Source organism: Homo sapiens, chromosome 12 (genome assembly GCF_000001405.40).
Source record: "Homo sapiens chromosome 12, GRCh38.p14 Primary Assembly".
NCBI classification, from domain to species: Eukaryota; Metazoa; Chordata; class Mammalia; order Primates; family Hominidae; genus Homo; species Homo sapiens.
The window spans coordinates 21896023-21911037 of record NC_000012.12 but is presented as its reverse complement, the minus strand read 5'-3'; the positions used below and the strand labels follow the sequence as shown (position 1 = coordinate 21911037).

At 37.9% G+C, this 15015-nt stretch overlaps 1 protein-coding gene across 8 annotated transcripts in view, besides 2 other annotated features; it reads left to right on the top strand.

Annotated features, from left to right (window-relative positions):
• ABCC9 (ATP binding cassette subfamily C member 9) overlaps positions 1-15015 on the top strand; it is a 144038-nt gene that overhangs the window by 30389 nt on the left and 98634 nt on the right. For all 8 annotated transcript variants that reach the window (XM_005253288.5, NM_001377274.1, XM_005253290.5 and 5 more), the window contains 4 exons: positions 60-212; positions 726-881; positions 2827-2961; positions 4750-4912. In XM_005253288.5, coding sequence (XP_005253345.1) covers positions 60-212; positions 726-881; positions 2827-2961; positions 4750-4912 — 607 coding nt within the window. The remainder of the gene's footprint in view (positions 1-59; positions 213-725; positions 882-2826; positions 2962-4749; positions 4913-15015) is intronic.
• Positions 10841-11341: an enhancer, noted in NCBI's record as "H3K4me1 hESC enhancer chr12:22052631-22053131 (GRCh37/hg19 assembly coordinates)". NCBI's record gives its function as "activates a minimal SCP1, AML or CMV promoter by ChIP-STARR-seq in naive H9 embryonic stem cells {active_cell/tissue: H9 hESC(naive)}" and the evidence as "EXISTENCE:reporter gene assay evidence [ECO:0000049][PMID:30033119]".
• Positions 11342-11842: an enhancer, noted in NCBI's record as "H3K4me1 hESC enhancer chr12:22052130-22052630 (GRCh37/hg19 assembly coordinates)". NCBI's record gives its function as "activates a minimal SCP1, AML or CMV promoter by ChIP-STARR-seq in naive H9 embryonic stem cells {active_cell/tissue: H9 hESC(naive)}" and the evidence as "EXISTENCE:reporter gene assay evidence [ECO:0000049][PMID:30033119]".

Here is a 15015-nt window from a genome sequence, read left to right as displayed (position 1 = left end):
TACACCTGGTCTATAAAAAGACGAGTTTTAATATGACACTTTTTTTCTTTGGGGACCAGATTTCAGAAACCCTCTCATCAAAGGAATTTCTTGAAAACGCTTACGTTCTAGCAGTTCTTCTCTTCTTGGCTCTTATTCTGCAAAGGACATTTTTGCAGGCTTCCTACTATGTAACCATAGAGACTGGCATTAACCTCCGTGGAGCTCTGCTGGTATGTAAAGGCTGTGAATACTATTTGTTTCCTAAGAATGCTATATACCATTCAGTGAAAAGAATAGCGGTAGCTTCAGTTTTGTTTTTTCATTCCATTTTCATTTTGGTATTACAACAACAACGTTTCTATAATCTACTTAATGAAAGAAACAGAGCTAATTAATAAACCTATTGAATTAAAAATAACTTTCAAATAATGTTAAGAAAAATATTTTGAAATCTTACATTTATTTATCTCTTTCTGTTTGTTCTAGGGCTTATGCTTAAAGTTTAATGCATGTTTTTATTATATCACTAGAAAAAAGGAAGTCTGTATTTGGTTAAGGACTGAAAATAACTATACTGAAGTAGAAATAACTGTAGTGGCTGATTTAAGAAGATGATCCTATAGAATTTTTCTTTTCTTTTTTCTCAAAAAAATTAAATGTTTGTTATTTATTTTCAGTGAAAATAATCATAGTGTCAATTTTAAGTTTAGAGCTTTATGTACTCTTTTTTTTTTTTTTGGTAGGCCATGATTTATAATAAAATCCTTAGGCTCTCTACGTCTAACTTATCCATGGGGGAGATGACTCTGGGGCAGATCAACAACTTAGTCGCCATTGAAACTAATCAACTCATGTGGTTTTTGTTCCTGTGTCCCAATCTATGGGCTATGCCTGTTCAGGTAGGTAGATAAATATAAGTAAGATTTTTGTCTGCAGAGGAAATAAAACAAAAAAAGCAGTAATGTATTTAGCTCTGTAAAAGGTGTATAGTTTTTGAATGTGCAAATATTACACTCTTTTATAGAAAAGGAAGCTGGGACTCAGAAATGTTATAGCATAGGTTAAGCAAGAGAAGTTTGAAATTATACTGCTTGAGTTCAAATATCTGCCCTACCCCGTCATTTACACAAGTGCTTAACTCCTCAAAGCCCTAGTTTTCTTAACTGTAAATGAGAATAATAATAGTACTTCTCGTAAAGTTGTGGGAATTGTCAAGGTTAAATAGATTAATATGTCTATAACATCTAGCATAGTGCCCAGCATTTCCTGGGCATCCAGTAACTGTTAGTTGTTAGTATTATTGCCTCGATTCATGTAAGTCACAGAGCCATGGTTTGACCCCTTTTATTTTGGCAAGCTCTCTTACAGCATTTCTAAACGAGAGCAATTGCTTTAATCAATCCCATAGTTTCAATAGTTAGTATATTGCAAAATGTCAAACTGCATAAAATGGTAGGAACAGTGACAAACTGGAGTGCTATTTAGCTATTTCCTATGTAAAATAACATTTTAGTAAAGACACGTTTTCTTCTTCCCCTAGCTGGGTAAAAATGGCAAAAGAAATATACTCAGTTTTTTCCTCTGTATAAACTGGACATTTTTAATTATCTCAAGTTTTGCATTCTGTAGATGAAGCTTAAGTGCTAGATCTTATTTGAAAAAATCTGTCATCTAAGTCCCTGTGTCCCACATTTATTCAAGTGCATAAAGTAATAAAGAAGATGCTAGTTTTTAACTTATTGTTTGCCTTTTCATTTTTTAATAGAAAACCAAGGCAAAAAAAAGTGTATATTATGCACAGTGCTTGGCACAAAGTAGGATTTGAGATGTACTTTGTCTCATTTTATCAAAATATACTTATATAAAGGTGAATTAGGTAGCTGCCTAGATGGTGTAATTTTAAGTGCACCAAAAGTCTCTGAATGACTGCATCATGGGTGACCTTAAGGAATTTTTTGTTTTTATTGGATATCTCAAACTACCTAATTAGTTAGGCAGTAAACGTGTCATTGGCCCCAGACAGCTGCTATTAAGCTATTATCATTGGCATATAGGCATAAATTATATACTTGAACTGCATGGATACAGTTCATTAATTGATGTTTTGAGCCATGATAAATCAGAGAGAGAGAGACTAGGATAGCAGGGGTAAATTCTGAGTTTTAAAGGAAAAAGAAGACAGTGGCAAACCAGAGAGGACAGGTCTGAATGGTTTTGCCCTTGGTTTGGGGAAAGAGAAGTATATTAAGATAGGACACTAACTTTAGCTTTTTAACAGTTTTAGTTACCGTCAGCCTTCTTGTCAGTAAGTGATTTCTGAAGTCATAAGAAGGTGAGGAGCTCAGCTCATTCCTTTAGTCCACAGACAACCATCCTCTACTCACATGATGCTGCCCCCTACTTTTCATCCTCTCAGCCTTGAAAAGCTAGTACAATTCCAAGAGAATATAGAAAGTCAAATTTATGGTGGGTGACAGCGTTTTCAAGAAAAAATTTATGCCCTTTTAAAAATCTGAAGACTACTTAAAAGGTTGGAAGTGTCATGGGACCACTTTGCAAATTCATGCAATACATTGGTTTGACATCAGTTGTACAGATTATCATACTAAAAATACATTCCTAGCACTTAGCCTTCCCCAAATAAATCAGAGTAAAACCCAACTGTCACAGCTGGGTTGACTTGATGGTTAATTCTGTCCCTCTAGAGAACCCTAATACCGTTGACTTCCAAATAAACAATATAATAATTAAGAAATACTACATTTGCACTAAAAATTATGTCCTTTCATGCAATGGCTCCCACAACCCATTCATCTTCTCTTTTCCATGTGTTTTTCTCTCTAGATCATAATGGGCGTGATTCTGCTCTATAATTTACTTGGATCAAGTGCATTGGTCGGTGCAGCTGTCATTGTGCTCCTTGCGCCAATTCAGTACTTTATTGCTACAAAGTTGGCAGAGGCTCAGAAAAGTACACTTGTAAGTAACATCTTTTGGAAACTTAATTACAAAAATGAGAAATGCTGTTTTAATTTTATAATATAGGAAATTAATACATACCACTAAAGATAATTTGGAAACAATTCTATTTCACTTCAGTTCTTCAGCAGCAAATGTGTATTTTCCATGTTGCAAAAACAATTTTTAAAAGTGGATTGGAAATTTAAAACTTGATGATCTTAGACTCAAAATACTAGAATCACCGTTCCCCATGTTTTAAAGTACCATGAGGTGATAAGGCTTTCAGTCTTCTTAGATCACTTGTCTAAAGAATCTTAAGCGTACTTTGAGGCTAGTGAACGTCAGTTATTGACATGCAAGAAATGGATCAAGGTGCAAGTGAAGGGTCAAGTTTGCTGCTTCTGAAATTATATTTCCCTAGGGTAGACTCAAAGCATGTGAGGATCTATGGAGTCACATTGACATGTTTCAGTGGCAGCTGCTCTTGCTGAATATATTTCTGGTCAACTTGGCAAGCAAGAAAAAGCCCAATTATTGACCTTTTCTGGCTTCAATTTGCCATGAAATCATTTCATTTGAGCACGAATTTGCTGCTTTTAGAGAAATCTTTGCAAATAATAAAATTGTTGACAGCATGTTTACAAATAAAGTTTGATTAAATATGAGCAAGGCTGTCTGTAAATCAGGCATAAAATGTGAAGATGCTGCCACTGACAGGATTGTTTCTCAAGTTCGTGTTTCTACTATGACAAGCGAGTTGCATGTCACGCAAGCGGTGTTTATCACTTGTTTTTCTGCTCCTTTAGGTAGGTTACTCATTATTTCTGTCTGAGCCAGCTATCCTTTTTACTCCAGCACACAAATACAGAAAGGTGTGGAAGGGGAGCTTAGGAGAGATATGATGATTCCCAAACATCTGTCTTTCATTTAGCTATTCATACCATATTCATTCACTCATTGAACAATCATTTGATAGGCATTTAAACACCCTGTAAAGACAAAACATTGAACAAAAACCAGGCTGTTTGCTACTTTTGCTTTCTCCTATCTGTCTTTTGACCACTCTACTGCCCCTTTTGATAGTTAATTAGTCATATATTACCTTGTTAGTAATTCTAGTATGACATGTGGTGATGAAGGAAGCTGAAACAGCTGGCTAAAATGAAGGTTTCGTATCTGCTACAAATCTCTCTATGATTATTCCAAGTTGTTAGTAAATCTAACTTAAGCCTTACCCAAGAACTTACAAAGAAGTATGTGGAAATCTCTTGATAGCTAAGATAATAGGCTTAGTTTCAATAACTGTGTTATGAAGATGCAATATGAATGCACAGAACACTGTACCCTCATATTTTCAAATAAGAAGCCCACTAACTTTTCTTAAATTTATTATTTTTCTTCTTGTAAGTATGAGTGATAGAGCTGACTGCAGAAGAAATTAAGTTAGATGTTAGGAGTCATTATAAGTCTCCTTATTATGTAAATTTATGTCTATATTATCTGCAGACATGATTCAAGGAAATCATGTGAAACTTTAGAAAATTGTTTTTAGCTTTTATGTAAACCAAAGCAACAGAGACATACATGTTTTTAGGTGGAAAGAAATGTTGAGGCCATCTCATTAAACTCTTTATTTCATGAAGCACAAAGGGTTTAATTGCTTCTCCTGGGAACTTCACAACCTAATTAGTGAGTGGCAGGGCCAGTCTGAAATCAAGGTCTCCTCAATCCCTGTCCATTACATGGTTCTGCCTTTCTGATTCACTTGGATGCAGCTGGTATTATTTTTCTTCCTTTGTTTTATAGGATTATTCCACTGAGAGACTCAAGAAAACAAATGAAATATTGAAAGGCATCAAACTTCTAAAATTGTATGCCTGGGAACACATTTTCTGCAAAAGTGTGGAGGAAACAAGAATGAAAGAACTATCTAGTCTCAAAACCTTTGCACTATATACATCACTCTCCAGTAAGTTGCTGTTGCTCTAAGAACAGGCGACTTTAAGGGCAACCAGAATAACCAACAGTCTATTCAGTTTAGATTGTGATCAATGAAACATTCTAGTTCTTCAAGGACACCTATTTATTTTCTAAACACGTGCTGTCCAATAGCCACCAGCCACACGAGGCTATCTATTTACATTTAAATTAAAGACCAAAGTAAGCACAGGTTTAGAGTCAAGTAGACCTGAATTTGATTCCTCACAACTAGTGTGCCCTTGGCCATGTTACTCTACAAACTGAAATCGTTGGTTTTCTTCATCAGTAAAATGAAGATGGTGATAATAGTAACTGTAATTAAAACCCTGGTATCAGTTCAGTTAGGATAAATTGTTGGTTTTTAGTAAAAAAGTAAAACTTTGTTTACTGAAATTGATTTGACTACATGACGATTGATCTTCTTATCCCCAAAGATCCTTTAACTATTTTTCCATTTGTCTCAGAATACACATGGGTAGCACTTGTGGCTGCAGCTTTTACTCCGAGAAAACTTTGCCACAAAATATCTCGCTTTTATTATTATTTTGCATCAATCTAGGATATCGACTTTGGAAACAAAAGACATCGTTCTATTTGTAGCATTCTGTTTTTAGTAGTGGTGTTTCCATTTACAAAATATAGTAACTCTCAATCGCTAAAAATGTCAAATCCTAGAAATCATAGCATTCTTTTTTTTTTTAATTATACTTTAAGTTCTAGGGTACATGTGCACAATGTGCAGGTTTGTTACATATATATATATGTGTCATGTTGGTGTGCTGCACCCATTAACTTGTCATTTACATTAGGTATATCTCCTAATGCTATCCCTCCCCTCTCCCCACACCCCACGACAGGCCCCGGTGTGTGATGTGAGGGGTCCAAGTGTTTTCATTGTTCAGTTCCCACCTATGAGTGAGAACATGTGGTGTTTGGTTTTTTGTCCCTGCAATAGTTTGCTGAGAATGATGGTTTCCAGCTTCATCCATGTCCCTACATGAACTCATCCTTTTTTATGGCTGCATAGTATTCCATGGTATATATGTGCCACATTTTCTTAATCCAGTCTATCATTGTTGGACATTTGGGTTGGTCCAAGTCTTTGCTATTGTGAATAGTGCTGCAATAAACACATGTGTGAATGTGTCTTTATAGCAGCATGATTTATAGTCCTTTGGGTATATACCCAGTAATGGGATTGCTGGGTCAAATGGTATTTCTAGTTCTAGATCCTTGAGGAATCACCACACTGTCTTCCACAATGGTTGAACCAGTTTATAGTCCCACGAACAGTGTAAAAGTGTTCCTATTTCTCCACATCCTCTCCAGCACTTGTTGTTTCCTGACTTTTTAATGATCGCCATTCTAACTGGTATGAGATGGTATCTCATTGTGGTTTTAATTTGCATTTCTCTGATGGCCAGTGATGATGAGCATTTCTTCATGTGTGTGTTGGCTGCATAAATGTCTTCTTTTGAGAAGTGTCTGTTCAGACCCTTTGCCCACTTTTTGATGGGGTTGTTTGTTTTTTTCTTGTAAATTTGTTTGAGTTCTTTGTAGATTCTGGATATTAGCCCTTTGTCAGATGAGTAGATTGCAAAAATTTTCTCCCATTCTGTAGGTTGCCTGTTTGCTTTGATGGTAGTTTCTTTTGCAGTGCAGAAGCTCTTTAGTTTAGTTAGATTCCATTTGTCAATTTTGGCTTTTGTTGCCATTGCTTTTGGTGTTTTAGTCATGAAGTCCTTGCCCATGCCAATGTCCTGAATGGTATTGCCTAGGTTTTCTTCTAGGGTTTTTATGGTTTTGGGTCTAACATTTAAGTCTTTAATCCATTTTGAATTATTTTTTGTATAAGGTGTAAAGAAGGGATCCAGTTTCAGCTTTCTACATATGGATAGCCAGTTTTCCCAGCACCATTTATTAAATAGAGAATCTTTCACCATTTCTTGTTTTTGTCAGGTTTGTCAAAGATCAGATGGTTGCAGATGTGTGGTATTATTTCTGAGGGCTCTGTTCTGTTCCATTGGTCTATATCTCTGTTTTGGTACCAGTACCATGCTGTTTTGGTTACTGTAGCCTTGTAGTATGGTTTGAAGTCAGGTAGCATGATGCCTCCAGGTGTTCTTTTGGCTTAGGATTGTCTTGGCAATGTGGGCTCTTTTTTGGTTCCATATGAACTTTAAAGTAGTTTTTTTCAATTCTGTGAAGAAAGTCATTGGTAGCTTGATGGGGATAGCATTGAATCTATAAATTACCTTGGGCAGTATGCCCATTTTCATGATATTGATTCTTCCTATCCATGAGCATGGAATGTTCTTCCATTTGTTTGTGTCCTCTTTTATTTCATTGAGCAGTGGTTTGTAGTTCTCCTTGAAGAGGTCCTTCATATCCCTTGTAGGTTGTATTTCTAGGTATTTTATTCTCTTTGTAGCAATTGTGAATGGGAGTTCACTCATGATTTGGCTCTCTGTTTGTCTACTATTGGTGTATAGGAATGTTTGTGATTTTTGCACATTGATTTTGTATCCTGAGACTTTGCTGAAGTTGCTTATCAGCTGAAGGAGATTTGGGGCTGAGACATTGGGGTTTTCTAGATATACAATCATGTCATCTGCAAACAGGGATAATTTGACTTCCTCTTTTCCTAGTTGAATACCCTTTATTTCTTTCTCCTGCCTGATTGCCCTGGCCAGTACTTCCAACACTATGCTGAATAGGAGTGATGAGAGAGGGCATCCCTGTCTTGTGCCAGTTTTCAAAGGGAATGCTTCCAGTTTTTGCCTATTCGGTATGATATTGGCTGTGGGTTTGTCATAAATAGCTCTTATTATTTTGAGATACGTCCCATCAATACCAATTTATTGAGATTTTTTAGCATGAAGGGCTGTTGAATTTTGTCAAAGGCCTTTTCTGCATCTACTGAGATAATCATGTGGTTTTTGTCTTTGGTTCTGTTTATATGCTGGATTTGCGTATGTTGAACGAGGCTTTGCATCCCAGGGATGAAGCCCACTTGATCATGGTGGATAAGATTTTTGATGTGCTGCTGGATTCAGTTTACCAGTATTTTATTGAGGATTTTTGCATCTGTGTTCATCAGGGATATTGGTCTAAAATTCTCTTTTTTGTGTGTGTGTCTCTGCCAGGCTTTGGTATCAGGATGATGCTGGCCTCATAAAATGAATTAGCGAGGATTCCCTCTTTTTCTATTGATTGGAATAGTTTCAGAAGGATGGTACCAGCTCCTCCTTGTACCTCTGGTAGAATTCAGCTGTGAATCCATCTGGTCCTGGACTGTTTTTGGTTGGTAGGCTATTAATTATTGCTTCATTTCAGAGCCTGTTATTGGTCTATTCAGGGATTCAACTTCTTCCTGGTTTAGTCTTGGGAGGCTGTATGTGTCCAGGAATTTATCCATTTCTTCTAGATTTTCTGTTTATTTGCATAGAGGTGTTTATAGTATTCTCTGATGGTAGTTTGTATTTCTGTGGGATCAGTGGTGATATCCCCTTTATCATTATTTTTGCGTCTATTTGATTCTTCTCTCTTTTCTCATTAGTCTTGCTAGTGGTCTATCTATTTTGTTGATCTTTTCAAAAAACCAGCTCCTGGATTCATTTATTTTTTGAAGGGTTTTTTGTGTCTCTATTTCCTTCAGTTCTGCTCTGATCTAAGTTATTTCTTGCCTTCTGCTAGCTTTTGAATGTGTTTGCTCTTGCTTCTCTAGTTCTTTTAATTGTGATGTTAGGGTGTCCGTTTTAGATCTTTCCTGCTTTCTCTTGTGGGCATTTAGTGCTATAAATTTCCCTCTACACACTGCTTTAAATGTGTCCCAGAGATTCTGGTATGTTGTGTCTTTGTTCTCGTTGGTTTCAAAGAACATCTTTATTTCTGCCTTCATTTCGTTATGTACCCAGTGGTCATTCAGGAGCAGGTTGTTCAGTTTCCATGTAGTTGAGCGGTTTTGAGTGAGTTTCTTAATCCTGATTTCTAGTTTGATTGCACTGTGGTCTGAGAGACAGTTTGTTGTAATTTCTGTTCTTTTACATTTGCTGAGGAGTGCTTTACTTCCAACTATGTGGTCAATTTTGGAATAGGTGTGACTCAGAAGGATGTATATTCTGTTGATTTGGGGTGGAGAGTTCTGTAGATGTCTATTTGTTCTGCTTGGTGCAGAGCTGAGTTCAATTCCTGGATATCCTTGTTAACTTTCTGTCTTGTTGATCTGTCTAATGTTGACAGTGGGGTGTTAAAGTCTCCCATTATTATTGTGTGGAACTCTAAGTCTCTTTGTAGGTCTCTAAGGACTTGCTTTATGAATCTGGGGGCTCCTGTATTGGATGCATATATATTTAGGATAGTTAGCTCTTCTTGTTGAGTTGATCCCTTTACCATTGTATAATGGCCTTCTTTGTCTCTTTTGATCTTGTTGGTTTAAAGTCTGTTTTATCTGAGACTAGGATTGCAACCTCTGCCTTTTTTTGTTTTCCATTTGCTTGGTAGATCTTCCTCCATCCCTTTATTTTGAGCCTATGTGTGTCTCTACACGTGAGATGGGTTTCCTGAATACAGCACACTGATGGGTCATGACTCTTTATCCAATTTGCCAGTGTGTGTCTTTTAATTGGAGCATTTAGCCCATTTACTTTTAAGGTTAATATTGTTATGTGTAAATTTGATCCTGTCATTATGATGTTAGCTGGTTATTTTGCTCGTTAGTTGATGCAGTTTCTTCCTAGCATCGATGGGCTTTAAAATTTGGCATGTTTTTGCCGTGGCTGGTACCAGTTGTTCCCTTCCATGTTTATTGCTTCCTTCAGGAGCTCTTGTAGGGCAGGTCTGGTGGTGACAAAATCTCTCAGCATTTGCTTATCTGTAAAGTATTTTATTTCTCCTTCACTTATGAAGCTTAGTTTGGCTGGATATGAAATTCTGGGTTGAAAATTCTCTACTTTAAGAATGTCAAATATTGGTCCTCACTCTCTTCTGGCTTGTAGAGTTTCTGTCGAGAGATCCCCTGTTAGTCTGATGGGCTTCTCTTTGTGGGTAACCCGACCTTTCTCTCTGGCTGCCCTTAACATTTTTTCCTTCATTTCAACTTTGGTGAATCTGACAATTATGTGTCTTGGAGTTGCTCTTCTCGAGGATTATCTTTGTGGCGTTCTCTGTATTTCCTGAATTTGAATGTTGGCCTGCCTTGCTAGGTTGGGGAGGTCCTCCTGGATAATATCCTGCAGAGTGTTTTCTAGCTTGGTTCCATTCTCCCTGTCACTTTCAGGTACCCCAATCAGACGTAGATTTGGTCTTTTCATATAGTCCCATATTTCTTGGAGGCTTGTTCTTTTCTTTTTACTCTTTTTTCTCTAAAGTTCTCACTTCATTTCATTCATTTGATCTTCCATCACTGATATCCTTTCCTCCAGTTGATCAAATCAGCTACTGAAGCTTGTGCATGCGTCATGTAGTTCTGGTGCCATGGTTTTCAGATCCATCAGGTCATTGAAGGACTTCTCTACACTGGTTATTCTAGTTAGTCATTTGTCTAATCTTTTTTCAAGGTTTTTAGCTTGTTTGCGATGGGTTTGAACTTCCTCCTTTAGCTCAGAGAAGTTTGATCGTCTGAAGCCTTCTTCTGTCAACTCGTCAAAGTCATTCTCCGTCCTGCTTTGTTCCGTTGCTGGTGAGGAGCTGCGTTCTTTTGGAGGGGGAGAGGTGCTCTGATTTTTAGAATTTTCAGTTTTTCTGCTCTGTTTTTTTCCCCATCTTTGTGGTTTTATCTACCTTTGGTCTTTGATGATGGTGATGTACAGATGGGGTTTTGGTGTGGATGTCCTTTCTGTTTGTTACTTTTCCTTCTAATAATCAGGACCCTCAGCTGCAGGTCTGCTGGAGTTTGATGGAGGTCCACTCCAGACCCTGTTTGCCTGGGTATCAGCAGCGGAGGCTGCAGAACAGAGAATATTGCTGAACAGCAAATGTTGCTGCCTGATCGGTCCTCTGGAAGCTTCGTCTCAGAGGGGTACCCGGCCGTGTGAGGTGTCAGTCTGCCCCTACTGGGGGTGCCTCCCAGTTAGGCTACTTGGGGGTCAGGGACCCACTTGAGGAGGCAGTCTCTCCATTCTCAGATCCCAAACTCCATGCTAGGAGAACCACTACTCTCTTCAAAGCTGTCAGACAGGGACATTTAAGTCTGCAGAGGTTTTTTCTGCCTTTTGTTTGGCTATGCCCTGCCCCCAGAGGTGGAGTCTACAGAGGCAGGCAGGCCTCCTTGAGCTGCGGTGGGTTCCACCCAGTTTGAGCTTCCCGGCTGCTCTGTTTACCTACTCAAGCCTCAGCAATGGCGGGTGCCCCTCCCCCAGCCTCGCTGCCACCTTACAGTTCGATCTCAGACTGCTGTGCTAGCAATAAGTGAGGCTCCATGGGTGTGGGACCCTCCGAGCCAGGCGTGGGATATGATGTCCTGGTGTGCTGTTTGCTAAGACCGTTGGAAAAGCACAGTATTAGAGTGGGAGTGACCTGATTTTCCAGGTGCCGTCTGTCACAGCCTCCCTTGGCTAGGAAAGGGAATTCCCTGACCCCTTGTGCTTCCTGGGTGAGGCGATGCCTCGCCCTGCTTTGGCTCATGCTCGGTGGGCTGCACCCACTGTCCTGCACCCACTGTCCAACAAGCCCCAGTGACATGAACCTGGTACCTCAGTTGGAAATGCAGAAGTCACCCGTCTTCTGCATCGTTCACACTGGTAGCTGCAGACTGGAGCTGTTCCTATTTGGCCATCTTGCAACCCCCTCGAAATCATAGCATTCTTATGTGTGATGTTAACATCTTTCTCAAACAGCATTGGCCGAAGATTCATTTGATGAATTCGGTTTTTTCCTAAATAGATGATTCAGATGATTGCAACGATTCTCTTGTTAGTTCTGTTTAGAAATAACTCCAAGAACAGTTTTTACATTTTATTTTCACATTAGAAATCAATCAGATTTGCTTCAGCCTCAAAGAGTGTGTTTATGTAAAACTAAATGAGTACTGGCAGTGAGATACACTTTGTTTTTTCTAAACGGGAAAAGGGTTAAAAATATTTGCAGTTTTTTAACTTGTCTCCTTGGGAGCTTATGATGTGATATTTTCTTGAAGATTGTCAAGAAAACTTAGCCATTTTTGAAAACTGAGGAGAAAAAAATACCATTTTCAGGTAAAGGAAGCCAAACTTCGTTCACATAAAACCCTTTTTTCCAATATATTTTCAAAAATTTCAAAATAGAGACTTCTTTCATCCTCAACTCTAACTTTAAAAGCAACTGTTACAAAAATATTGTTTTTTCCCTCAAAGTATGACTGAGTATTCTCATGAATAACAGGGTTTATGTTAGTATACTTTACACAAACTTAGCAAAACTACTCCCACTAATATTTGATTTGATTTATGTGTCAGTTTTGCTCATCTTTGTTGCTCCCAAGACCTTTAACAAATTAAAATTTTGGAAGTTTATATATTGTTTCCTCTTGAATTATAAACTCCTTTAGAGTTTAAAGATTATAAACATTTCTTTTTTGAAATAGATTTAGAGAAAATATTTGGCCTATATAGCCCCTTTATTCTAGCCCTAATGCTTGATACATTAGACATAAAGTTGGAAGGAGTTTTATCTTCCAGCAATGCACCACTAACATAGTGTCAAAATGCTAGAAGACAGGATGATCAAGATTCACTTGCTTATATTGTACTACTCTAAGTTGGTGACCCCTTCAATACATCCTTCTCTTCAGGGGACTGAAATTCTCATAAGAAGGATGGATGTAGCCAAGAATAATAACAATAACAACAACAACAACAAAGATATATTGAGAGTATACTTAGCCAATTATTGCCATAAGTGGTTTTTCATATACCATCTCATTTAATTATTACAACAGCCCAGTGGTTTTGATTCTATTATTTATTTTTATATATTGTTTGAGACAAGGTCTCACTCTATCACCCAGGCCAGAGTGCAGCAGTGCAAACATAGCTCACTGCAGCCTTTAACTGCTGGGCTCAAGTGCTTCCGCCTCGCAAAGTGGTGGGATTACAGGCATGAGCCACAATGCCTGGCCTAGATTTTATTATTAACTCCACTTTAGAATTAAAAGATTGACATATAAAGAACTTAGGTAACCTGAACTTCTTTCAAATCATCCAGCTACTAAAGGGCTGAGGTGAGATGTGAATTCAGCTTGTGTGTCTCTAGAGATGAGAGTTGTGTTGGTATTGAGTCAAATACAAGAAGAGAGAGGGTAGAGGAGGTCATCCTAGGGGAGAGCAGTAAGAAGTCATGAGGGGGAAAATACATTATCCTGTGTTCTTGATAGGCAGCTGGGATTCTTGAGTCAATGGAGCAAAATTCCAGTTTGACCACTTCAAGTTTTATTATTTTGTTCAGTACAATCTTGTTGGTGGTGAGTTGAACAGAGCTGGCTATAAATCCTAGCTCTGACACTTTGTAGTAGAATGGCCTTGAGAAAATTACTTATATCCTCCTAGCCTCAGTTTCTTCATCTGTAACATGAGCTATTAATAATATCTACCATGTAGGATTGTAAAGATTAAAGAAGATAATGGATAATACAAACATTTATTGAGTGCACACTCCATCTCTGGCACTATGTCAAGTGCTTCATACTCATCTGCTACCAAGCAGGTTAAACGAAAATAATACACTTAGAATATAGGGTGAAAATACAGCAAAAGAAACTATCATCAGAGTGAACAAACTACAAAATGGGAGGAAATGTTTGCGATCTATCCATCTGAAAATTGTCTAATATCCAGAATCTACAAGGAACTTAAACAAATTTATGAGGAAAAAAAACCCTCTTAAAAAGTGGGCAAAGGACATGAACAGACACTTCTCAAAGGAAGACATTTATGTGGCCAACAAACATGAAATAAAGCTCAACATCACTCATCATTAGAGAAATGCAAATCAAAACCACAATGAGACACCATCTCACGCCAGTCAGAATAGCAATTATTAAAAAGTCAAGAAACAACAGATGCTGGTGAGGCTGTGGAGAAACAGGAATGCTTTTACACTGTTGATGGGAATGTAAATTAGTTCAACCATTGTGGAAGACCAGTGTGGTGATTTCTCAAAAACCTAGAACCAGAAATACCATTTGACCCATCAATCTCATTACTGGGTATATACCCAAAGGAATGTAAATCATTCTATTTTAAAGATACATGCATGTGTATGTTTATTGCAGCACTATTCACAATAGCAAAGACATGGAATCAATCCAAATGTCCATCAGTGATAGACTGGATAAAGAAAATGTGGTATATACACCATGGAATACTATGCAGCCATAAAAAGGAATAGGATGATGTCCTTTTCAGGGACATGGATGGAGCTGGAAGCCATTATCCTAACCAAGGAACAGAAACTAACCCAGGAACAGAAAACCAAACACCACATGTTCTCACCTATAAGGGGGAGTTGAATAATGAGAACACACAGACACAGGGAGGAGAACAACACACACTGGGGCCTATGAGGAGGGCAGTGGGAAGGAAAGTAGCTAATGCATCTGGGCTTAATAGGTGTAGCAAACCACCATGGCACATGTTTATCTATGTAACAAGCCCGCATATCCTGCACATGTATCCCGGAACTTAAAATAAAATATAATAGGGTGACAATGGTCAGAGAAAGAAGGTTGAGGCAGAAATGTGGCTTCTCATCTGTGTTATTACAAAACTCAGATCAGTGTTTGGATTCGCGGTACTGTACAAGAGTCTATGTTTGACAACTAAGTCATATCTGGACTTGCAAAAGCACAGTCTGATTCTGTTCTATGTACGGTGGTAAGGATAATCCCTGAGAGCAGATGATTTTTAAAACCGGAGTCCTCTACTGTTAAGAAAATTAGATTGCAGCGCACCAGCATGGCACATGTATACATATGTAACTAACCTGCACAATGTGCACATGTACCCTAAAACTTAAAGTATAATAAAAAAAAAAAGAAAAGTAAAAAAAAAAAAAAAAAAAGAAAATTAGATTCTAGCTTCTCACTCTGCTGTTGCCTGGCTCTGTTACAAACAATTC